This window comes from Homo sapiens, chromosome 2 (genome assembly GCF_000001405.40).
Source record: "Homo sapiens chromosome 2, GRCh38.p14 Primary Assembly".
NCBI classification, from domain to species: domain Eukaryota; kingdom Metazoa; phylum Chordata; class Mammalia; order Primates; family Hominidae; genus Homo; species Homo sapiens.
Window position 1 is genome coordinate 25,478,618 of NC_000002.12, and position 24,357 is coordinate 25,502,974.

The 24,357-nt window shown below is 40.8% G+C and overlaps 1 protein-coding gene across 30 annotated transcripts in view, besides 5 other annotated features; it reads right to left on the reverse strand.

Annotated features, from left to right (window-relative positions):
- DTNB (dystrobrevin beta) overlaps positions 1-24,357 on the reverse strand; it is a 296,335-nt gene that overhangs the window by 101,375 nt on the left and 170,603 nt on the right. For 29 of the 30 annotated variants that reach the window (NR_147180.2, NM_001320935.2, NM_001351393.2 and 26 more), the window contains one exon: positions 4,179-4,256. Coding sequence is in view for 29 of the 30 variants with exons in the window: in NM_001320935.2 (NP_001307864.1) it covers positions 4,179-4,256 (78 nt within the window). In the remaining variant the exon portion in view is untranslated. Of the gene's footprint in view, positions 1-1,248; positions 2,617-4,178; positions 4,257-24,357 lie in introns of all 30 variants that reach the window. The other variant, NM_001351395.2, reaches the window with a different exon arrangement.
- Positions 19,042-19,121: an enhancer, noted in NCBI's record as "active region_15458". NCBI's record gives its function as "activates an Ori minimal core promoter by ATAC-STARR-seq in GM12878 lymphoblastoid cells {active_cell/tissue: GM12878}" and the evidence as "EXISTENCE:reporter gene assay evidence [ECO:0000049][PMID:35858748]".
- Positions 19,142-19,251: an enhancer, noted in NCBI's record as "active region_15459". NCBI's record gives its function as "activates an Ori minimal core promoter by ATAC-STARR-seq in GM12878 lymphoblastoid cells {active_cell/tissue: GM12878}" and the evidence as "EXISTENCE:reporter gene assay evidence [ECO:0000049][PMID:35858748]".
- Positions 20,493-20,637: an enhancer, noted in NCBI's record as "145 bp 2:25722050 sequence used in MPRA reporter constructs". NCBI's record gives its function as "activates a minimal TATA-containing promoter with rs34793068 allelic activity by MPRAs in C283T melanocytes {active_cell/tissue: C283T}" and the evidence as "EXISTENCE:reporter gene assay evidence [ECO:0000049][PMID:36423637]".
- Positions 20,565-20,575: a transcriptional cis regulatory region, noted in NCBI's record as "rs34793068 or 2:25722050 MPRA-significant variant associated with a GWAS melanoma risk locus at 2p23.3". NCBI's record gives its function as "allelic transcriptional activity by MPRAs in C283T melanocytes {active_cell/tissue: C283T}" and the evidence as "EXISTENCE:reporter gene assay evidence [ECO:0000049][PMID:36423637]".
- Positions 22,919-23,021: a silencer, noted in NCBI's record as "fragment chr2:25724405-25724507 (GRCh37/hg19 assembly coordinates)". NCBI's record gives its function as "represses an EF-1alpha promoter that drives an FKBP-Casp9 reporter gene in an ReSE screen in phorbol 12-myristate 13-acetate-treated (for megakaryocytic differentiation) K562 erythroleukemia cells {active_cell/tissue: K562(+PMA)}" and the evidence as "EXISTENCE:reporter gene assay evidence [ECO:0000049][PMID:32094911]".

Sequence of the window (24,357 nt, forward strand, 5' to 3'; positions counted from 1 at the left end):
TCAAATTCCTGGGATCAAGCGATCCTCCTACCTCAGCCTCCTCTCTCTCTTCTTTTCTTGGCAGTATACTCTTCTTTGGGGGAAATGCTTCTTCCTCTGCTCTGATGCCATAGGTCTAACGGGCATGGTCCCTCACATACACACAAGGATGGACAGCAACGCAATCCAGGACACAAGAATCCTTCCTTGCGTTTTTCTAATCCAAAGGAGGAAAAGCACAACCCCTGGAGGGGCAAGGCTGTAGGGAGGTGTGTGTCTGCAACCATCGGCAGCTTGGGAGCAGCTGTTCTGCAGTGGCGGGGAGCGAAGATGGCACACGGAGAGAGGCAGCTCGGAGAAGGAGGGCCGCCTGGGGGCATTCCAGCTGCTTTTGTGATCTGTGTACTCTTCTGCCCTTCCCTTTCTGCTTTTTGCCTTTGCTTTGTGGGTTTTGCCTTTTAAGGTTCGATTTTAATACTTGGAACTAAAGGAGACATAATATTAATATACCAACTGAACGCACAAAGCACAAAGTTGCATACTGAAGGCTTTTGTTACTTCCACAGTTCTATGAAATTCCCACAGAATTGTTAAGCTTTAAGTATCCATAAACACAGCTAAAGCTTTAGAAGACATTTAAAAATAAAAAAAATTAGCATCATTTTCCATATTTGTCTGAATATAAGTTGACTTAAAATAACAGAACAGTACGCAGCATAAGAACACAATTCACATTCTGAACCTTGGGGAAAAAGAGGTCTAGACGCGGGCCTCCTAGGAAATTGGACAGGGGAGGGGTATTTTAAGCCTATGTTTTAAAGCCTTGAAAAGTTTTTTCTTGTTTGCTTTTAAATGTACTATGTGGACGCTTTTAAAAGAAAGTAAATTTCAAGGAAGTATTTAGCCTAAGGCAGACAAAATTTCTTTTCAGTTATAAGATATCAATTTAGGGATATTAAAAGATTATTAGGGAGGGCAAATCCCTACAGTAGAACCTCTCGGGAACATAATTTATGGTTATCTCACATGACAGTCATCATCTCTGCCATTTATAAGGTCTTCTGTGAAAAGTAAAGCTTACATTCAGATCATCTTTTATTTGGACTAACAGCATTACTTTTGGCCACTGTGATTATCACTATTTTTATATGCACTGCCTATTAAAAAGGTAGGAACTAGAGCACTTAAAATTTTTCCTGCATTTTTATCACTGTGCATGTTGTTGTCTCATTCAGTGATTGACGTCTTAGGATGAGTTCTAAAAGAAACCTCTTATTCTGGAGAGTAGCTGCTCTATCTCCGCGAGCATTCCTGTCTGGGCAGAGTAAGGCTCTGTGGCTGGCAAGACGTGCTGGGCTCCTGGCTTCCGTTAGACTCTCTGGCCACACAGGTCTGTCCACATTCAGAGGAGGGAAGAAAAGCTGAGGAGTCATTAAGGAAACAAGTAGAATACTACCTGGAAATTTATACTATTTGATTACTGGGGCCATGAAAAGCCAAGTCTATGAATTAGGTAATTAGTATCCACATGGTATATCACAATCTCATACTGAATATAAATGGAATCCCCTAAAATCCTGGGGGCTGTAATGGTAGGGTAGGAGCATTTTGTTCCTATGGAGCCGCTACTCAAGTAATTGTGCTTCTTAATCAATCGGAGCTCAACCTTCTTCTCTGGTCTGCCCTCTGGCTGCCTTTGGTCTGCTGGTCAGCCCTTGCAAAGTTTACGATAACCACCTCTAGGGTGGGCTAATTCCACCAGAAAGAGTGGCTAAACACTGACTTTAAGATGAAATCTTAATCCAGGCTATAGATTATCTGAAGCAGCTTTCAAAAATGACAGGTATCATTTTGTGACTGGCAATCACAGCTGGCTACTTACAATAAAGCCTGCAGGTGTAACACAGCAAGCCTGAGGGGTAGGCCTCTACAGAGGTGGCTATGATTATTACTGCTCCCTTCTTTTAGTTTTTTCAAGCAATAAAACACTGTCCAGAAAGCCATGCTCCTTCTAATAGCCTCTAGCAGCCACATTCAGCTGTGGTCGCCCTCATGTACTCGGGTGACTTAGCGTGACAGAACTAGTAAATGATGAGAAGAATTCAGATGGGAAATGCTACTGAATGAGATGGTATTCTTATAATTAACAGGAAAACTATGACCTGAATTCTTTGAATCGGCCACCTTATCTGCCTGGTTTTGAAACGGAAACATCTTTGATCTGGAGTCTGGGTTTGAATGCTATGGGTGTTAAACATAAAAAACTGAAGTCCAAGGACAGCAAGGGTTATCGTAATATCTAGGTAGGTGGGACAGGCTTAATTGCTTTGTATTCGTCCATAAAAATTCCTTTCCTGCTTGAGAGGGCATTGCTGGTAAATTATTCTGTCTCTTCCTCACTTATTCTCACATTCCAGTTTATTTCCTAAGTCATAAAAATAATACATTAAATTCTCACATAAACCCCAAAAGGTAGATATTATTTTTGTCCCCATTTTAGAGATAAAAAATTGAAAACAAGGCCAGGTATGGTGGCTCGTGCCCGTAATCCAGCACTTTGGGAGTCTGAGGCAGTTGGATCACTTGAGATCAGGAGTTTGAGACCAGCTTGGCCAACATGGTGAAACCCAATCTCTACTGAAAAAAAAAAATACAAAAATTAGCTAGGTATGGTGGCAGGTGCCTGTAATTCCAGCTAGTCGGGAGGCTGAGGCAGGAGAATCGCTTGAACCTGGGAGGTGGAGGTTGCAGTGAGCTAAGATTGGGCCACTGCACTCCAGCCTGGGTGACAGACAGAGACAGTGTCTCCAAATTTAAAAAAAAAAAAAAAATGAAGACAAGAACATTTCAAGGTAAGCAAAGAGCCAGATTCCAACTCAGAAAGAGTCTGGCTCAAGAGTCCATGCTCTGGTGCCCTGTACCACTCAGCTCTGTCCAGAAGCAGTGGCCTGACTCTCTTGCTGCTGGAAAGTGCCCTAGCAAGGCTAAAGGCAAGTACTCTTACCTGGTCAGGTCCTGAGTCTCCATGCGGGTAATGTGTTATCAGGCCACTCTGATTTATTAAGTCCCTAACTTCTCTCTTCAGGGTAGTCCTACACTTTACTCGTTAGCTTCCTTGTCAGGCTATTGCCCAAACTTGCTTGATGATAAGAATCAGCTGGAATAAAAATGTAGCTTCTCAAGATCCTATCTTCAGAAATTCCAGTTCACTGGGTCTGATGTTGTCCCAGAAATCTGTTTTCAACAAGTGACCCAGGTGATTCTTCTCATCAGTCAGGTTTGATAAACACTGACGTAGGAGTTTTAGCCAATGGGAACAAACATCATTGTCTTAAGCACTATGTATTATATAGTCAAAATTTCTATAGCATTTCTATAGCTGAATTAATCCAAAGCAATCGGTACATATGGCACAAAATGTATTTTTTTCCAGGAAGGACTAGGGGGTGGGCTGGAATGTCTTTGTGGTTTTCTTGTTTCTGAGTGATGACTGTTAGAAAGAATTCTTTAATGGCCATGCCCTTGAGGGAGTTTTTGCATTGCTCTGGGTCATGGAACAGCTTATACCAAATAGAAAGCCATTTTATATAGTTCTTTTAAGTCCTGCCTGAGAGAATTTTTGGAGAAGAGCAAATTAAATAAAGAGGAGAAAGAAGTACACAGTTCTCATTCCTTGAAGGCCCCTAAAGCAAACTCCTTGCATAACCAAAAGAGAGAGACTCAGGCTTTCCAACTTAAATGTTTATAAATCATACACAGAATGATTCAGGAGAAAATTTTATAAGGGATTAATTCAATTTACACAGTCTAATCAAAGAGCAAAAATGATCTTTGACAAAGAATTCAAAGGCAAAACTGTTGAAACTCACGACTACCAAAATATTGTTTAAGGTTAAAAAAACGGATCTGAAACGTGCCTAATCTGCTCTGACACTGCCACCACTGCTTGTCACAAATGAAGTTTCCACCTGAGGCACCACTGAAAGCCAAACTTCAGTTGCTATATTTGTGAGTCGGTGGGGGAAAAAAGGAAAATAAAAAGTAGAAATTAAGACTAAAAGACGGTCAAAGGAAGAGAAAGCAAACCAGTCCTTTCTGCCCTGTGGAACAACCTGCTTTTCAGGCCTCATTTCTGGCAGGGGCATCGCAAATCAGTAGCAGAGGCCAACACCCAAGTCGAAGGCACAAGACATACGTACCTCTTGGTGGGAGTGGGCACTCCAGAGGACATGTGGCTAACCATGGTGTCATTCATATTAGTCAGAGGGCGAGGAGGACTGAAAGAAAAGACATTTACCTTATATTAATAATGACCAACTAGGGGAAACAAGGGAAACGACGATAAGCATGGTAAGAGCAAAGGGACCAATCATCATTCGCGGTAAGCACAGACGGACCCATGGGGAGGGGGGGGACCCATGGGGAAGGGGAGGCCCATGGGGAGGTGGGGACCCATGGAGGGGGGGAACCCTTGGGGAGGGGGGTAGAAATCGATACTTCAAGCCTAAGTAAATTCAGCAAGAGGTTCTCCCTCACAAAGCCACAGGGCCACTGAGCTGTGGGTACCAGAGATGCAACTGATTATAAGCACACTACTGCAGGACGTAACTTTGGTGGCTTTTGCTTTGTAGTTTTAGTACATAAGAATTTAAATTCTGCCCCTTAGTGAATTTCTCTACATTTTACGTACAAGATTACTAGGTGTCTGGCATTCATTGTATATTACAAAGGTCACAACATCGAGGTGCATGCTGTTCCTGAGATTTGGTTAGAGCTCACTGGTTTCCCTCAGACTTAGTTTGTAAACTTTTAACCAGAACAGACTGTTAAATACCACGTTCAAAAATAAAGACTCTGGAACAAACTTTGATTAATTCTCTACTAGAATCTGAACAACAAATCCAAATTTTACACCTATACCCTAATTAGAATGTTGTCTTTGATAACCCCTAATCCAAATTTAAACTTCAAGGTTAGCATTTTTGGTAACTTGTCTTTAGCTGCAGGTTTTCTAGACTCAGGTCCATTTCTCCTTCTTGTGAAAGTCCTGAAGGAATGAATTCAAGCTTCTCAAAAAGGTGCCAGGTATCTTGCCTTCCAGCCATTCTTCAACCCCTCTCCCTCCCTACCAGGTTCAGCTACAAAAGGGTTCTGTCTTGCATCTGGAACCACATGACTATTGCTAAATACTTAAACTGGAAAATTTCTCACTTCCTCTTTTAAACTGGAAGAAGTACAGTCATGTGCCACACAATGATGTTTAGGTCAATGACAAACCACATACATTATAACAGATTATAATACTGTATTTTTACTGTACCTTTTCTATGTTTAGATACATAAATACCCTTGTGTAACAGTTGCCTCCAGTATTTAGTACAGTCCCATGTTGTACAGGTTTGTAGCTTGGAGGCTACATACATAGAGTGTACTTACACATACTTGGATGGTTTTGCCTGCTGCAAACCTAGGCTACACCATATAGCCTAGGCTACACCATACGGCCTAGGCTACACCATATGGCCTAGGTATGAAGCAGGCGAAACCACCTAGGTTTGTGTAAGTACACTCTCTGATGTTAACACAACACAAAATTGTCTAACAAAGCATTTCTCAGAATGCATCCCCCATTGTTAAGTTATGCATGATTATACTTCTCATATTTGTCTATCAAAAGCATAAAACTGAAGCTGAAAGTCCTTCTCTCATATTTAGGTGCTTGGGAACTAACTACCTTCTGGTTTCTCCTTCCGTTTAAGGACAGAGTTAATTATGTAAAATGTTTCTGGAGAGGTTATACTTAGCAATTCTTTGTGAATATTAAGGGATCACAGGCTTTATTGTTTTGCAGGTTTCATAGTACACTCAAATAAAAGCTCAAGGGGAAATATTTCAGGGAGGGCCAAGGAACCCAGATGTTAAAGAAGGATCTCTTTCTCCATCTATCTATGCACTTTTTTTTCTTCTTAAACCAACTGCATTTCTGTATAGGGATTTTTAAAAATGATTTTTCCATTTAATGGAGAGGATCCGAGATGGAAAGTAATTTGCAGGGAACTGATTTTGGTCTCTTGATTTTTAAGCCATAGTACTATGCTTATTGTTCTACATTCCTCCCTTTGTGTGACATGTCTCTAAGTAAGACATTTAGAATTGAAATATGCCTCTCTAGGCTAGAAGTCAATTCCAAGTTATTTATCTGACTACCTGTCTTCAGACAGATATCCAATTATGTCCCAAACTTTCAAGACTATTAATGCTAGTGGCTGTGCTGAGTTATAGTCAATTAATCAGTTGTTTTAGGTTGACTAATGATCGAAGTGAACACAGAGATTAGCTTGTATTTAGTCCTAAATTTATATTTTTGCCTCTAGTTCTCTTATATCAATTGTCCAACTGAAACAAGGAGACAATCCCTATGAAAGAACCAAATCCAGCACAACAGCTTTCTGGTCCTGGAAATAGAATGGGCTATTCTTTAATGTATTATTATTAGCAATCTATTTCCAAAAGAAGATAAAGACATTTTCACATTGCTTTCAGAACTAATACAGTTACCTGCTATATATATATTTTTTAATTTTTAATAAATAATAGAGACAAGGTCTCACTATGTTGCCTAGGCTGGTCTTGAACTCCTGAGTTCAGGTATCCTCCCACCTCCACCTCCCAAAATGCTAGGATTACAGGTGTGAGCCACCATTCCCGGCCACCTGCTATATTTCAATATTAAAGATATCACTGCATTCAATTTCCTTTTTGGTATTCTCAGAGGAAAAATGAGAATAAAAAATTCAAATTCCTAGAACATAAATCCATGCAATAAAATTTCATGATTTGTAACAATTTGGTCTGATACCACAAACATCTTTATAATCAATATCTCTTGGTATATATCATGTTCAACCATTATAGCACAAATATCAAAGCTTCTTCTCTAATATTCAAAACCAGACAGTAATGGCTATATTGTAAACTATAAACTAATCATAACTGACCCCCAAATGTCATAGCCTTTCTGAACTCCTAACATGCTTTGCTAGAAAGACAGGTATATGTCTGCAGTTTAAAATGAAAGAAGCACTTGCAAACTTAAAGGAGGTCTTTACTACAGAACCTTCACTAGAGCCACGACTCACCATGAAAGCCAACAGCTCAGATGCATTCTTAGAAGGCATAACATGGCCTGGGGAACGTAGTGAGACCCTGTCTTCACAAAAATTAAAAAAAAAAAATTAGCCTGCTGGCCAGGCGCAGTGGCTCATGCCTGTAATCTCAGCACTTTGGGAAGCTGAGGTGGGTGGATCACAAGGTCAGGAGTTCAAGACCAGCCTGGCCAAGATGTTGAAACCCCATCTCTACTAAAAATATAAAAATTAGCTGGGTGTGGTGGCGGGTGCCTGTAATCCCAGCTACTTGGGAGGTTGAGGCAGGAGAATAGCTTGAACCCGGGAGGCGGAGGTTGCAGTGAGCCAAGATCACGCCACTGCACTCTAGCCTGGGTGATAGAGCAAGACTCCATCTCAAAAAAATAAAATAAAATAAAATAAAATAAAATAAAAAAATAAAAAAGATTAGCCTGCTGGCTGGGCACAGTGGCTCACGTCTATAAAACTAGCACTTTGGGAGGCCAAGGCAGGCAGATGGCTTGAGCCTGGGAGTTTGAGACCAGCCTGGGCAACATAGCGAAACCCCGTCTCTACAAAAAAATACAAAGATTAGCTGGGTGTGGCGGCGCATGCTCGCAGTCCCAGCTACTCAGGAGGCTGGGGTGGGAGGATCACCTGAGCACAGGGAGGTTGAGGTTTCAGTGAAACTGACATTGTGCCACTGCACTTCAGGCTGGGTGACAAGTGAGATCCTGTCTCAAAAAAATAAAAAATAAAAATGAGTCTGGCATGGTTGCACGTGCTGTAGTCCTAGCTACTCAGGAGGCAGAGGTGGGAGGATCATTTGAGCCTAGGAGGTTAAGGCTGCAGTGAGCTGTGATTGCACCACTGCACTCCAGCTTGGGCGACAGAGCAAGACCCTGTCTCAAAAAAAAAAAAAAAAAGGTAATACACTAAAAATGACTTCTGGCTCAAACAAACATACAAAACCTTCATGGTTCTTGTAAGACATAACTGAAAAGAGTATTTCCAGGTGTAAAGCAGACATTAATGCTACAAATTATAGAAACTTAAAAAAACAGAATTGGCACAACATTAGATTGGTTTTGTTGATCTTTAACATGTAAAACCAGTTGAATACCTTGAGCACCAGATGTTCTGTATCTTCCTTTGGTACAGATCTCAGCAAGGTATAGGCACTATTGAGTTTCATGATACTGAAATGGCCACCATCTATCGCTTGGTCCAGAAATTTGGGAGGTTCCTTCTTTGTTAATAAGATATACCATTTTTTCGATGGGATAGAATAAGATGATGATATAGGTAGAAAGTATCTGGTAGTCAGTAGAGGTAGTTTTTAAAGACTTGGCAAGAATTTGGTACTTCTTAATTAAAGGGAAAGCATCACTGTTACTGGGTACCTACTGATAAAAGATTATCTTTATTTCAATGACCTAACTGTATATAGATGGAGACAAACATGCAAGCAAATCATCACAATGCCATGTAATGAGTGCAGCAATGAAGTATGGTCAGTCCTCCATGTCTGTGGGTTCAACCAACTGCAGATGGAAACTATTCAGAGAAAAAGTTCCACAAAGTTCCAAAAAGTAAAACTTGAATTCACCATATGCTGAGTAATACACTGAATCCTTGCAAAGGACGTGATGTGTAGGCATTGTGTTAGGTATTACAAGTACTCTAGAGAGGACTTAAAGTATATGGGAGTATGCGCATAGGTTATATGCAAATACTATTCTGTTTTATTTCAGGGACTTGAGCATCCTTGGGTTTCCATATCTGTGGGGGCTCCTGGAACCAACCCCCAGGGATACTGAGAGACAACTGACAGACCAAGTGCTGAGAGTCACAGATGAAGATCAGGTACTTCTGCCTGGAGGTACTTCTGCCTGGAGGAACAAGGGGCAAGAATCGTCATGGAAGGCCTCAGAGAGGAGGCATCGTTGAGAACAGTTTTCCAGATACAGAAAAAGAATTAAGAGAACCCTAGATAGAAATAGTATGTAAAATGGCATAGAAATCCAAAAATACATGAGAAACTGGGTCTAATTTATTTGTTTGACCAAAGGCATCTGAAAGGGAGTAGCTGGAAACGCATGTGGAAAGGTAGAGGAGAGGCAGGATGTGAAAGGAGCTTGTCCTAGCACAAGGTGAGAGATCTGAACTTTATATTGCAGGCAGCAGGAGAAGCACTGAATGTAAGACAAACACCAATGTGACCATCACATCATTTTAAAAGCTCACTCCAGAATCTTGCAGATGCTGGTCTTTTATCAAAAGCGTGCATGGGAATCCTCTGAAAAGCTTTCTGTAAGATAAGATACCCAAGCCCTACCCTCAGTTCAGTGACTCTGAACTTCTAGGGGTGAGGGGAATCTTTGCCCCACATAATATATAAATATATCATGTAGGATATATTGGGAAGCAGGGGAATGGAAGCTAGGAGGCCAGGTAAGAGGTTATGGCAGTTGCCCAGATCAGTGACTATGAAGATGGACAGTGGTAGTCAAGATGGGGGCAAGAGAAAAGGAAAGCTATTGTGAAGACAAAACCAGTAAGAGAGGGTGACTGATTAAGTACGCAGGGTTAGGGAATAAAGAATAAGAGATTTTTACCTTGACTACTGGGTGGTAAAATATCCAAACTAGAAAACACAGAGTAGGAAACAAGATCTGAGGTTGGAAAGGAGGAGGGATGGGTAGACAGAATGAGCAGGAAGATAAGAGTGAATAGGATTTGAGTTTTGAAATTGTTGGGTTTGAAGTACCATTGATACCATTGAAGTACAGGTAAGTGGATGTCTAGAAAGCAGTTGAAAATAGGAGAACAGAACTCAGATGAAATGTCAAGTTTGAAAATACATGAGTGTCATTAAACAGTACCTGGTCATTTCAGTATTCTGAACACTAAAAACGTGCATTTACTTATTTATTTATTGTTTTGAGATGGAGTCTCTCACTCTGTTGCCCAGGCTGAAGTGCAATGGGGCAATCTCAGCTCACTGTAACCTCCACCTCCCAGGTTCAAGCGATTCCCCCCTCACCCTCCCGAGTAGCTGGGATTACAGGCATCCGCCATCATGCCCGGCTAATTTTTGTATTTTTTGTAGAGACGGGGTTTCGCCATGTTGGCCAGGCTGGTCTTGAACTCCTGACCTCAGGTGATCCATCTGCCACAGCCTCCCAAAGTGCTGGGGTTACAGGCGTGAGCCACCAAGTCTGGCCGAAAACGTACATTTATATTTATTGTTTTTAGGCGGGGTAGGAGAGGTTTGGGGACCTATGCAGTAAGAGGGTGGCTTAGATAACAGGAACAGAGGTTCTGGTTATTGGGGAGACACATCTCCTATTACAAAGCACAAATTGAGCTTACTGGTAGAAATAATTTTCATGCAGTTCCCTTGCGGCCAGACCACTCCAGTTCATTCTGGTGATGCTCTGAAATACAGACTAACTAGAAATTAAAATTCCTACAAAATCTCTCTTAAGGGTTTTAAAATCATCTGTAGGAATAGATAAATAACTTGTACCTTTAAAAATGTTTCAGGACAGATTATATACAACTGTATATTTCTTTCATTTATCAGATATTTGCCTATAATGTGACAGGCACTGTGCTAGCTTCTGGGAATAAAAATTAAAAAGATGAAAACTGAAGTCTTACAAAGAAGAAAAATTTAGAAAAAATAATTATAATGTAGCAAATACTTAATAGAAGTAAGAAAAACTGCTATATGCATGGGAAAATACTGAGATTATCTCATCCCATAAAGAAAAACATATTTCTAGGGTGTTAAAGAGTTAAATATAAGCCAGGCATGATGGAACCCACCTACAGTCCCAGTTATGCAGGAGGCTGAGGTGGGAGGATCATTCGAGCCCAGTATTTTGAGGCCAGCCTGGGTAACACAGCCAAGACTCCGTCTCTTAAAGAAAAAAGAAGAGTTAAATATAAATGTTTATATAAATTAAGAGAAAAAATATAGGTCTATGAATAGAGAGGATTTTCTTAGCTCAAAAGCAATGGAAAAATTAGAAAAACACCAGTTAATTTGAATTGTTAAAACCATCAGAAAAGAAAAAAAAATTTGAGGAACTACCTGAACAAATGTGACACAGCAAAAATTAAATGCCTTAATACATAAAGGATTCACACAAACTTAAAAGAAAACTATAGGGATTCCAATTAGATAAATGGGTAAAGTAAAAATACATGTTTAAAAAGAAGAAATACAAATGACTCAAAAGAAATTTAATTAAAAATTACAGGCTGTGCACAGTGGCTCATGCCTGTAATCCCAGCACTCTGGGAAGCCAAGGCAGGAGGATCGCTTGAGCCCAGGAGTTCGAGACCAGCCTGAGCAACATGGCAAGACCCCATCTCTACAAAAAATTAAAAAATCAGCTAGGTGTGGTGGCATATGCCTATGGTCTCAGCTACTCAGGAGGCTGAGGTGAGAGGACTGCTTGAGCCTAGGAGTTAAAGGTTGTAGTCAGCCAAGATCAAACCACTGCACTTCAGCCTGGGTGACAGAGTGAGATCCTGTCTCGGTGGCGGGCAGGGGGAATTATAGACCACTTTCTCTGGGAAAAATAATGATCTTTTTAAAAAGGCAATCCTTAAGAGTGGAGACGGTTTTCTGACACAGGTCCTTAATTTACTACTAGTCAAGAGTGAAAGTAAAAAGTTAAGCCAAATTTCTAGAAAGTGATTTGGCAATATGTCCATCAAAGATCTTAGAAAACATTCAAACACTGTGGCTCAGTAGTTCTCCTTCTAGGAATCAATTCAAAAGACTAATTAGAAATGCACAAAGAGATTTATATTAACAAATATTCAGGAAGTGTTATTTATGGTAGGATAATTTTGAAATTATCCTAAGTGTTCAAATATAAGGAAAGGAAAAGTAAACCATGGTATATCCATAATTATAGGATATTATGCTGTCATTAAATAATAATGCTTATGAAGACTTTTTGATTACTTGGAAAAATGCTCAGCATATAGAAGATAACAAAGAAGGGCAAGATGATGATGATAGCTAACAACTACTGAGTGTTTGATATCTATCAGACACTTTAGAGCTTTAAATACATTATTTATGCTGTCTTCACAATAGTCGTATACAATTATTTATACATACACACAGCACACTCAACTACATCATAAGCATAAAATGAAACATCTGGAGGCAATATGGTCAAATGTTAAGATAAGTGGAATTATGGGAATTATGGGAATTATGGGAAAGTATACTTTCCAACACTTCTCCAACCTTTTCAGTTTAATTTTTCCTGATTCTAAGAGAAAAAGATGCTTAATGTAAAAAAAAAAAGAATCAAATTTCTAAAGTGAACCTATATTATTTTTGTTATTAAGAAAGCAAACTGAGAAGGGAAGTGTTATATGAGCACACACACACACACACACAGACACACACACAGAGGGAGAGAGAGAGGGAGGAAGAGGCAGGGGGAGGGAACGAGGGAGGAGAAACTATGGTGTAGAAGTTTGAGACTTTCAGTAGAAAACCTGTGAAATGGTTTGAGTAGATCCAAAGTTCCACAACTTCCCAACATCATTACCACCACCACTCCTCAAAAATGAGAATAAAGAAAACATCTTAGACCAGTCTAGATGATCTCCTCTACTACACTGTAAGAAATCTGTGATATTTTTACTATTATATTTCAAGTGTCTGGCATAGTATGAGGCACAGAGTAGGTACTCCGTAAATATTTGTTGCCCATGAGTCAGCACCATGTTGCGGAATATAACAGGAATGGTGAGTGGGTAAGAAGTAATCTATTATATTTAGATGTGGTGAGACTATTCTCCAAAAATGGGATGACATTATTCGCTGTTATATTTGGTGGATATATTTGTAGCGTCTGCAGCGATAGCAGACTCTTTTTCCCCTTCACTGGGAACAGTGGTATATTCTTTTCTACTTAACTCTATTAATGTCTACTGCTTGGTCTGTTATTTTTTTTCTTCTACCATCTATGACTTAGGAATAGAATCAGCAGAGTGGAGAGTGTCTTTACTAATAATAGCAATATTTATTGAGTGCTTCCTATACGGCAGACTAAGTTTGAACATTTTCCATGGATTCACTCATTTAACCTTACACCAAGCCAATGAAGTAGATACCATTATCTTTATTTTACAGATGGAAAAAAAAAAAACTGAGGCATGGAGAAAAGTAATGTTTTTGAGGTCACAGAGCCAAATCGTGGGAGCAAGAGGATTTGAACCGAGGCAGTGTGGCTCTGAGTGTGTGTGCTCAGTCATTCGAGTGTACTGTCTACTATCTTTCACGGCTGCACTTTCAGGAAAACACTTAAGGATATTTACTCTATATAAAAAAAGCCAACAGCATGACGTTAGATCATAGTTCCTGTTGTTTCTATAGGAAGATAAGATAGTAATAGTTACAAAGTATAGTTTTGGAGTGATTTACCCTTTCCCCATCATATTATTAGAACTCTGTGTCCTAAATGGCTCTCTGAACGTAAACCATCTGGCTTGAGAGCTTAACAGGATTAACTTTAAAATCTAATCTTCATTTCAAAGATCTTTTAGGTTCCTAATCTCAGCCTAGCAAAATACATACATTTAATGAGCAAATTATCTATTATATAAACCAGACTGTTGACTAAAAAAAAAGTTTAACAATGGGCTTAAAATCAACACTGAGTGTTATGACTCATTTTGGCTTTCTGAATTAACTTAGATCCAGGGGTAAACAATGTCTGGATAGGAGTCTCTAACCAAGGATGTGAAAGTACAGTACTGATGTCGTGTAGACAAAATTTCTACTTAAAATTGCAAAGTTTTAAAGATGAAGGAGTAGGCTGGGTGCAGTGGCTCACACCTGTAATCCCACCACTTTGGGAGGCCGAGGCAGGAGAATCGCTTGCATCCAGGAATTTGAGACCAGCCTGACTCCATCACTACTAAAAATCAAACATTAGCTGGTTTTGGTGGTGCACACCTGTAGTCCCAGGTACTCAGGAGGCTGCTCAGGGGAGGACTGCTTGAGCCTGGGAGACTGAGGCTGTAGTGAGCCGACATCACATCACTGCACTCCAGAGTGGGTGACAAAGTGAGACCTTGTCTCCAAAAAAAAAAGGAGGAAATGAATAAAGTCAGCTGAAGCCTGGAGGACAAGTGAGATTTGGGGCACCTGTCAGAGCTGTCCCTTTTCCCCAGGCCCTTTGACAGAGCCTCTTCTGTAGGAAGTCATGCAGACAGCCACGTACTTACCCCTGCCCTTCACTTTTAAATTTATTGGCGCATTAGCTCTTTCCCACAGAACATTTCTTTTAGCTGTGGAGGTTAAGATCAGTGTCCTGCAATTCTCTTTTACATAGACAGCTGTCTGCTAGCCATGCATTTGGGAATCTTGAGCAGATTTTTTGGGTGTCTGTTTATTACTATTGGTGTGAAAGGGGGAAAGAATTTATTATGCCCTAATGCTTTCATTTGCTCGACTTCTTTTTTTGTATTCCCCATAATAATGCTTTACAAAGGAGGTAACCATTTTAAATACATTTAATCTCTTATTAATATTTTGTAGCCAGCTATTTTGCCCTCAATCCTAGATACCTATGTTACTTCTGAAATTATCTTCCCTACTCACTTGAATCAGACCTTTTTCTTCTTTTAAATGATGCAGCAGATTTCACCATACTTTAAAACAAATGTAAAACCCACCCTATAGACTACCTCATTCTTTTCTCTATCAAACCACTTCAGTCTCCCATCTCTCTCCATCAAGTTGTTGTTCTTTTGCTTCTTCTAAGCCCCTGCTTTCACCTCTTTTCCCACCTACTTATCCTGGAATGTCCTTCATAGATTGGCCAAAGTTACACAATTTCTCACTTCTCTTATCAGAAAAACAGCTCCTGAAATTTCAATAGCTCTAGAAAACCTTTCTAGTTACAAGCTCCATTTAAATAAACATTGGCCATAGTATGCAAACAAACAAAAATCCACGGCCTATTCATGCCTAGCACTGTTAGGGGTTTCGGGACAAAATAAAACAAGTTGAAGACTGTCCCTGCCCACAAGAAGTTTATAATCAGTCCTCATAATCATCAGTCATAGCAACAACAGATACTTAAGCTTTAGCTTAACATATTACAATATTTAGATCAAATCCTATATGATGATAATTTATAACCAAATACATGTAAGACTATTTGTAACAAAGACAACTTAATTATTTCATTTGATATAAACAAAAACCAGTACAACAAAATAATATGAAAAAATCCTATGAAGTTAACAGTTACAGGATTTGCTGTGTATTTTGCATACATTTCTTTACTTTTGCAGCATTGGGGAGGTTGTGGGGGGAAGACAGTGCCTAAGCATTTGCTGAGTGTGAAATGCATCAGCACTGAGCCAGGCCCCTCAGAAACATTACGTGAATTCTCACTACTACTCATGGTGGTATTTCTATTTTGCAAATAAAGAAATAAAAGTCAAGGAAGATAATGGGTTCAAGGTCACATGATGGAATCAGTATTGGACACTACTTGTATCTGCTTCTAAAGCCACTGAATAGATCAAATCCACAAACACTCTTTTATTTCAGGCATCTCTGTATTATCCAAATGAATTTTTCAGATTAGAGTTCTCAGGGAACAATAAATTTTCAAGTTTGAGAAACACTGCCCCAATTCAGGACTACTAGCCTCAAATCTAACTTGAAGTAGTTTAAGTGGTAAGGGGGGTGGGGGGAGGAGGGGGGAGTGCGGGGGTGGTTGGGAGAGGAACTTATTGGGCACCATAACTAAATACTAACTAAATTCATAACCAACCTCACGAAGGCAGGGGTGCAGCTGGCTTCCAGGATGTTGGAATGTCATTAGGACGTTTACTGTTACCTTTGCTTAGATCTCATTTTGAGTCAGGCTTTACACATGGCCCACAGCTTTTTATGCTTAGGAAGAAAGAGTTTCTGCCCAGAATCTCACAGCTTTACCACTGGAGAATAAAACCTCTTCCTTTATCCCAATTTGAAAATCCCCAGCAAAGCCTCTGGCCTGCCCTGAGTCACTTGCCTACTCTGGCATTCAGCAGGCCCCATGCTATGACTGGTATTCCTCCCGGAACATCACAGTTAGCGCTAGGAGGGGAACAGATCTCTAAGGAGAGAGCACTGTTGCCAGAAAAAAAAAAAAGGGAGGCTGCAGAACAAATCTACAACAAAAAAATGTTCACTTACTTAAAGATTAACTTTCTTCCAAAGAAAAGTGTCAAATGACAGTGCTCAGGGTGCAGGCACTTCAGCATCTCTGCTGCACAATGCGTCAGAATGAAGGTGGTATTTCTCTTTTTTTTTTTGAGTCAGGGTCTCGTTCTGTCACCCAGGCTGGAGTGCAGCGGTGCAATCTTGGCCCACTGCAACCTCCACCTCCCAGGCTCAAGTGATTCTCTTGCTTCGGCCTCCCAAGTAGCTGTGACTACAGGCACATGCCACCACACCAGCTAATTTCTGTATTTTTCATAGAGTTGGGGGTTGTGTCATGCTGCCCAGGCTGGTCTCGAACTCCTGGGCTCAAGTGATCCATCTGCTTTGGCCTCCCAAAGTGCTAGGATTACAGGCATGAGCCATTGTGCCCAGCCTTCTCTCTCTCTTTTTAGTTACTACTACTCTTCAAAAATTTGTGGTTAGAGACCTATTCGTGGACCCTTAAGTGAAAACAATATATTGTCTAGAAAGAAAACCAGTTTTCTTATTATTCCATTATGATGAAGAGGACATAAGGGATTACATTGATCTATAATGCTGGTAAGCTGCAGCTCTGGTGAAATATTAAGGAGCCCAGGTTCTAAAAGCCCTTTCATTGCAATGATTCTCGTGTGGATAGTGTGGATCATTCTTGATCTCCTTGAGTAGCATGCTCTTTGTCTATCTCTATGTAATGGACCAACCATTTCTTGTTACCTCACGGGGTTCTATGGTTATCTGCCAAAGCAAGGAAGTTAAACAAACAAGCAAAAACACCTTTTGGAAAACCATGATGTTAAAAAAATAAGCATCTGGTACTGTAAGTGTAGCATAAATATCATGTTACATACCTACAATGAGGTTTCTGACTTCCGGGAAGTGCATTTAAGTTTACTGATCATTTACAATTAATTAACCAATTGGTTAATATAAAAAACTCCCCTATCAGCAGACATATATGCCTCAATTTATATTCGTAGCAATTTAGCATAGCCATTTGTGGTATCAGACTTGTTTAATGAACTATTTCTCAGGAAGGAAAAGTTTACCACAAATCCATTCTTACACTTTCACCACTAGATAGTGTCTAGAGACATGGAGAGGAAGCCAAATATCTCTCTAGCTCTAGAAAGGGACAGAATTGTAAAATGAGACAATAGTTATTAACTATAACAAATTAACTATTTAACAGTATTGCTCAATTTATCATCATTATGTTGAAAAAGCAGTCGAGAGTCTTATAAACCGGATCATCAAATCAACAGAAATGTATTTTTTTATTTTTAAAAACCTTTCCATGATGAATCCCTCCTTCCTTGTTCTCCTTGTTCATTAAACTTAGGAAGTTGTTCCTACTTTATGTAGATGCTAAGTCCTGTATTTAAGAAAAATGAGAAAGGATGGCATCTTAAATGCTTTAACAAGTTACTGCTCATAGAGGGGTCAACAAAATGCATGATGCAAAGTCATTTCCCGACCTGTTCACATGGTCATCAACTGAAATCTGTTTTCAAAAATGGAAATGAATTCACTGCTATAGATGACAGGCTGACTCTCACATATTTTTACCAAACAAGAAGAGATATAGTGGGGCTGGGCGCAGTGGCTCACACCTGTAATCTCAGCACTTTGGGAGGCTGAGGCAGGCGGATCACCTGAGGTCAAAAGTTCAAGACGAGCGTGGCCAACATGTAAAGCCCTATCTCTACTAAAAATACAAAAATTAGCCAGGCATGGTGGTGGGTGCCTGTAATCCCAGCTACTTGGGAGGCTAAGGCTGGAGAATCGCTTGAACCCGGGAGGCCGATGTTGCAATGAGCTGAGATTGCACCACTGCACTCCAGCCTGGGTGACAGAGTGAGACTCTGTTTCAAAAAAAAAAAAAAAAAGATAATAGTGGGCTGCCCATTTAATAGAAACTCCCTGGGAAGTTCTAGGGGCTCTAGCATCTTGCCAAAAATAAACACAATCATCATTAGCCCAGTGCTTAAGGTGGCAAAAATATAAAGGCGAAGAATAACTATTAAACCTTCACACTCTGTAGCAAAGCCTTCTTCTTTCTCTACAGATCTGGCTTCTAATGCATTACGCTGCTGTTGTCTCTAAGGAAACAGAACAATCACATGACGAAGGGTCTTCTCTACAAGGTAGTCTTCCCCACAGAGCATTTTGGGAAAGAGGAGGCTCAAGAGGACAACTCATTAGAAGGCAAACACACATCTGCCTTCCACCAGCAAGTCCACAAAGCAGTCAAATGACAGGACAGGAAGACAGAGGTAGCACACAGTGTAGGTACTGCTCATTGGAAGCTTAAAAATGAAACACACCTACTTGCAATAGAATCCAAGTCTTGCTGCAAATCCATAGCCTAATGAACCCGGTCAGCAATTCCATTCCGATGAGGACTTTAAGGAGCACTCCCACCTCCTCTCCAAGGGCCTCTTCTAATTGCCAACTCTTGATAAGAAAGTAGCCTACAGAACTGTGTCTGCCAAGCAGTCTAGGTAGGTAGCTATCAGGAGGTAGGGAGAACCAGTAAGGCTTGAGTTTTTTGTTTTGCTGAAGAGGAGTTAATGGGAATGCAAGCAGGGTGAAAAAATAGGACGATGGTGTCTGTCTACCGCTTTGATGCAGACAGCTCCTTAATTCATAAAGGCAGCTTATACGAGGGCAGTTGAAACAAAAGGGCTATCCAGTGTGAGCTGCTGAGCAGGCTCTGATGGATGTCTCTGACAGGGTAGTCCCATCATGAGATTGTCTCTGCCAGTCAGAGTCATTCTGTGGCCTCTTATTTATTTCATGTAGTCAATAGCTCCTAAAACTGTGTTCCTGGTTTCTATCCCCACTGCCACCATCACATTTCAGCCCTCATTTGGCTAATGTTACTTAAATATTCTAGGTTTTCTACTGGTTCATGGGTGTCCAGGGAACCTTTCTATTGTTACTTATCTGATTTCTCACAGCTAAAATCACTTTCCTAAGCACCGCTCTCATCATGTCACCATTCTACCCCAAATCATCAATTCTCTACTAGTCTCCCAAATTAGAACAAAACTCTTTGTCTGTGCAGGCACTGCCCAGACAGCACAGCCTCAGTCTCCCAGGGCCTCCTCATTGTCACCACTTCTCCCCCTTCCTACACTGTTCAAACACAGGTCTGGAAATTTTCTGGCACAATAAAACAAAAACAAAACAAAATGACAAAAACTACACAAGTATTTACACTAAAAGTAGAGGTAGTCAAAATGAAACCCTTACTAAATACCTCAGTGCCCGGGAAATAATTCTATTATTTACTTAGATAAATGAAGAAGTGAGAAAAGCCAAGCCAACAAATCAGACAAACCAACTAGTGTGACTGTTACTACACACACTCAGATATCCAAACTAAGAGCCTAAAATAAAATGGGTGCATGTGTTAGACTACTGAGCAGAAGATGAAAGAGCTGATTCATATCAGAAATATAATAAAAACAAAATAACAGTGGGATATCATCTTTCAAGGCTACAAACTCTAAGGATATAGATGAGGGACACAGTGCAGAATGTGAAGGGCAATGTGAACAATAATGGGTAAAATTAATTACAGGAAAAAACTACAGACCGAGTGCAGTGGCTCACTGGGAGCACTCTGGGAGGCTGAGGCGGGTGGACTGCTTGAGCCCAAGAGTTTGAGACCAGCCTGGGCAACATGGTGAAACCTCATCTCTACAAAAGAAATACAAAAATTAGCCAGGTGTGGTGGTGCATTCTTGTGGTTCCAGCTATTCAGGAGGCTGAGGTGGGAGGATTGCTTGAGCCTGGGAGGTTGAGGCTGCAGGGAGCCATGATCATGCCATCACACTCCAGTCTGTGCAACAGAATGAAACCCTGTCTCAAAAAAAAAAAAAAAAAAAAAAGATCTATAGAATGTTTGAGATTATGAGATTGAAATACCATAATTTTATAATGAAAACATATCAAGGTCAGGCATGGTGGCTCACTCCTGTAATCCCAGTACTTTAGGAGGCCAAGGCGGGTGGATCACCTGAGGTCAGGAGTTTGAGACCAGCCTAGCCAACATGGTGAAACACTGTCTCTACTAAAAATAGGAAAATTAGCCAGGCATGGTGGCAGGGTGCCTGTAATCCCAGCTACTCGGGAGGCTGAGGCAGGAGAATCGCTTGAACCGGGGAGGCGGAGGACGCACTCAGTCGAGATCGTGTCATTGCAAAAAAAAAAACCAAACAAACAAAAACAAAAACAACCATATCAGGAAGGAAAGGGGGGCAGTGGAGAGTGGGAAAAAGTTTGGGAAAATTGGTTCTGGCTCCAACTCTGATACTAAGTGGATTATGTGACCTGCATGACTTTGGACAATGAAGCCCTGTGTGTCTCAGCTAACTGGTCTGTGAAATGACAGGGGCTGGTTCTAGAGCACTGATTTTCACATGCTGTGCTCTGGGGATCTGAGGATGCCACATGGTGCTTCAGTGACCATGATGAACAGCAAGGGGAACAGACGAAGGATGTTAGGCCCCAATCTTGTTCCAATAAGGGTAGCTCCACTTCTATTCCACATAACATTTCATAGGAATAAAATGTTCTACTGCTTTTTTAAAAAGTTTGAAAACCCCTTTCCTGACTACAAAATTTAAATTAGAAGTCCCTGCTATATTCTCTCATAGTATCCTCTTCTTTTTAAATAATACTTATCATAATTTGCTATTATATGTAATTAGTTTTTATTTGTTGGTTGGTTTCACTTATGAGCTTGTAAACTTTGCGAGAGCAGGGACCCTAGTACTTGTTTCATCTCTGTCTTCATTGCATTCACAATGTGTACTGAAAACCACAATTGGAACACACTGGTTGCTCAACAAATATTAGTTCAATTATGAATGACTCTCTTATAGCTGAGCTTTTATAATTCTACTTACCATTCTTTTTTTTGGTTTTGTTTTGAGACAGGGTCTTGCTCTTTCACTCAGGCTGGAGTACGCTGGCATGATTATAGCTCACTACAACCTCAAACTCCTGAGCTGAAGGGATCCTCTTGCCTCAGCCTCCCAAGTAACTTGGATTACAGGTGCACCACCATATCCAGTTAATTTTTTTTATTTTTATATTTCTGTAGACATGGGATCTCACTCTGTGGCCAGGGCTGGTCTTGAACTTCTGGCCTCAGCAATCCTCCTGCCTCAGCCTCCCAAAGTGCTGGTACTACAGGAGTGAGCCACTGTGCCAGGCCATCTACTTACCATTCTAATCTACCTTAAGCAATGTATTGGCTGAAACCCAAAAGTGTCAATTGGTCGGGTGCTCAACTGACATGAATTTTAAATGGAAAAGATATCCAGACAAGGAATTCAAAGAAGGCTGGTAGATAAGCCATTTGGGATAGCAAAAATCTGTGAGTGGGAGGAGTAATGAGGCCTAAACAGGCACACACCCAACAGAGGCAGCAGCGCTCCTCATGCGTACTAAACACATCAGGCCAACTACGCTGTTCAATCATTCTTAGCATCTCATTTCTGGACCAAAAGAACCTAAAAGAAATGTAAAATGCCCCAAGACATTAGAGAATTTGCCAAGGGAAAGAAAAACCACCTACCATTTCATTAAAATGTGTATCTAAGTCTCTGCTGAAAAGACCACACAGAGACCTTGGGAGACAGTGCTTTGCCAGTGAACTATAAATCAGCTGCAGAAGTAGTCCAGGGACTTCCAGTACAAGGTAGTAGAGTGAGCACATGCGGAGAGCTCACCCTCCTGTGCCAAAAAAAAAATGACTTAAAGATATAAACATAAATTAATGCATAATTAATGCATGTATAGCTAGGACCAAAACAAAAAAGGAAACTCTGTTTAATGCCTAAACAAAATGAAAAAGTATCCTCTAAGGAAGAAAATGAAGAATCATAGTGGTGAGCAAGGGCTGCTTCTCAGCGGCCATGAGCCACACACACAAGGACTGCTGGCCACTTTTGAGGAGGCTGGAAGAACCTAGGTTCTGACCCCCATGGGGCCCCCCGAAAAGCAGAGAAAACAGAGCATCCAAAAAGGTCTTCAAATACCTAAGATCCTCAGGCCCCTAAAGGATAAAACAGCATCCATCAAATGTTCTGAAAAATAACCAATTAGAGGCTTTAAAAATGAAAACCATAGTTATTGAGACAAAAAACAAAACAAAACTGAATACAGCTAAAGATTGATGAACATAAAAAATAAGTTAAATGTAAAAGCTAGATCTAGAAGTTTTTTTTTTTCTTTTCTCTTTTGAAACAGGGTCTCACTCTGTCACCTAGGCTTGAGTGCAGTGGCAGGATCATAGCTGCCACTGCAACCTCGAACTCCTCAGCTCAAAGGATCCTCCTGCCTCTCAGCTTTCCAACTAGCCGGGACTACAGACACATGCCACCATGCCCAGCTAATTTTTTGTTTGTTTGAGATGGAGACTCGCTCTGTCGCCCAGGCTAGGATGCAGTAGTCAGATCTCAGCTCACCGCAATCTCCACCTCCCAGGCTTAAACGATTCTCCTGCCTTAGCCTCCTGAGTAGCTGGGATTACAGGTGTGAGCCACCATGCCCAGCTAATTTTTGTTGGGTTTCAGACAGAGTTTCACCATGTTGGCCAGGCTGCTCTTGAACTTCTGACCTCAAGAGATCAGCCTTGGCCTCCCAAAGTGCTGGGATTACAGGCATGAGCCACTGTGCCCAGCAATCCAAAAGTTTTAAAGTCTATATTTTAGGGTTCAGACAAACTAAAGAGAATGAAGGAGAGGCGATAGTATCTAAACAGACAATGGCTGAAAATTTTTCAGATTTAAGGCATGAGTCTTCAGAAACTAAGAATCCTGAGTATTAAATTAAATTAAATAGAAACTCAAAAAGCTTATATACAGACAGGTTATAGTAAAACTTCAGATTTATTAAAGTATTAAAAAAAATCCTGGCCAAATGCAGAGGCTCATGCATGTAATCCCAGCACTTTGAGAGACCAAAGTAGGAGGATCACTTGAGGTCAGGAGTTCAAGACAAGACTGGATAACATAGTGAGATGCTGTTTCTACAAAAATAAAAAATTAGCTGGGCATGGTGGTGTACACCTGTGGTCTCAGCTATTTGTGGGGCTGAGGTGGGAGGATTGCTTAAGCCCAGGGAGGTGGAGTCTGCAGTGAGCCGTGATTGCACCACTGCACTCCAACCTGAGCGACTGAGTGAGAACCTGTCTCAAAACAAAATAACAACAACAACAACAACAAAACAAAAAACAAAAAAAATCCTAAAAGTTTACCAGCAAAATGAGACATTCGACAAAAAGGAAGGAGAATCAGATTGCCATCAGCAAAACTGATTATAATAGAGGAGCGATACCTTCAAGCAATGAAGAGAAAACAACTTTGGCTGGACTCTAAACCCAGTGAAACCATCATTTAAGACTAAGTGGGTGCACCACAACCATTAGACAAGAAAAAGAAATAAAAGATGTCCAGACTGGGGCTTGGCACAGTGGCTCACTCCTGTAATCCTAACACTTTGGTAGGCTGAGGCAGGAAGATCGCGAGGATCACTTGAGCCCAGGAGGTGAAGACCAGCCTGGGCAACATGGCGAAACCCCATCTCTAAAAAAGTATAAAAATCAGCAGAGCAGCCAGGCACGGTGGCTCATGCCTGTAATCCCAGCACTTTGGGCAGCCAAGGTGGGTGGATCATGAAGTCAGGAGATGGAGACCATCCTGGCTAACACGTTGAAACCCTGTCTCTACTAAGAAAAACCCAAAAAATTAGCCGGACATGGTGGCCAGCGCCTGTAGTCTCAGCTACTCGGGAGGCTGAGGCAGGAGAATGGCATGAACCCAGGACGCAGAGTTTGCAGTGAGCTGAGATTGCACCACTGCACTCCAGCCTGGTTGACAGAGCAACTGTCTAAAAAAAAAAAAAAAAAAAAAAAATCAGCAGGGTGTGGTGGCATGAGCCTATGGTCCCAGCTACTTGGGATGCTGAAGTGGGAAGATCACCTGA